Here is a 1,490-nt window from a genome sequence, read left to right as displayed (position 1 = left end):
ATATAAGATATATACTATATATAATTAGTATATAGAATATATACTGTATATATAATTAGTATATAGAATATATATACTATATATAATTAGTATATAGAATATATATACTATATATAATTAGTATATAGAATATATATACTACATATAATTAGTATATAGAATATATATACTACATATAATTAGTATATAGAATATATATACTAATATATATAGTTAGTATATAGAATATATATACTATATATAATTAGTATATATAATATATATTATATATAGTATATATAGCATATATATTATATATTTAGTATATATATAATTTGTACATAAAAATATATCTATAAAATTATATATTATATAAAATTGTATATATAAAAATATATATAGTATATATAATTAGCACATAAAAATTATATATATAAATTATATATAAAAATGTATATACTATATATGAAAATATATAGTATATATATAAATTATATTTATTTATATAATATATACTATATACCATTATAAATACTATATATTATGTATTTTATATAATATATAGTATATATATTGGTATATACTATATATTAAATATTTTGTATATAGTATATATTATATGTTAGGTAACTTGTTAAGTACCTAATATATGTTGTATATAATATATATATGTGTATATTTTTTTTTTTGAGAAAGGGTCTGGCTCTGTCTCTCTGGCTCTGTTAGCCTCCTGAGTAGCTGGACAACAGGCATGTGCCACCATGCCTGGCTAATTTTTTAATTTTTTTGTAGAGACAAGGTCTTACTCTATTGCCCAGGCTGATCTTGAAATCTTGGGCTCAAATGATCCTCCTGCTTTGGACTGCCAAAGTGCTGGGACGACAGGCATGGGCCACTGCACCCAGCTGCCTAACAATTTCTTGGGACTAAGTAAGTGCTGAAAAAATAAAACTCCATCCCTTTCCCTATAAGTAGCTCAGCAATATTTAGGCTACTTTTGTACCAGATCAAAAGTGCTTTCATGGTGAGATTTCAGCCAACCAGGTTGTAAGATTTGTTTTGGGAAACAAAATCTAGGCTCTTTGAATTGTATATTGTAGATAGCTGCCCATTCACCTATTCAGAAAGCAGGCTTTAGTAGTAAGTTTCCTGTGCAAATTTAAGGTCCAAATTGATCTTGTATTTCTGGACATCAAGAAGAATTGGCACCAACTTCATTGCAATAATCATTGAAATATTTTAAAAGTGTTAAGAAAATCATATTAAAAATCAGCTCAACATTTCTCATTGTATTAATATTATTTTTTCCCGATATTGCCTGCTAGGAACTGGATTATTGTTCTCTTTTTAACTTCTGCATGTAGAACGCCTGCTCTCACAATATAAATTCCTTTTGTGGCAGAGAAAATTAGTGTGTTAATAAGAATTTGTATCTGGACTTGCTCATCAAAGCTTGTAAACCCTTTTTGGTTGCACACACTCCTTTGTAAATCCCAGGATTCCTGCGTGAG

The 1,490-nt window shown here is 26.1% G+C and overlaps 1 annotated feature.

Annotated features, from left to right (window-relative positions):
• Positions 1,014–1,183: an enhancer, noted in NCBI's record as "experimental_103459 CRE fragment used in MPRA reporter constructs". NCBI's record gives its function as "activates a minimal promoter by MPRAs in K562 erythroleukemia cells, with activity observed for the non-introgressed 8:5968831 variant allele {active_cell/tissue: K562}" and the evidence as "EXISTENCE:reporter gene assay evidence [ECO:0000049][PMID:34662402]".

This window comes from Homo sapiens, chromosome 8, assembly GCF_000001405.40.
Source record: "Homo sapiens chromosome 8, GRCh38.p14 Primary Assembly".
In the NCBI taxonomy this organism is placed as follows: Eukaryota; Metazoa; Chordata; class Mammalia; order Primates; family Hominidae; genus Homo; species Homo sapiens.
Note: the sequence above shows the minus strand (reverse complement) of the source record. Positions and strands in the feature narration are given on the sequence as shown.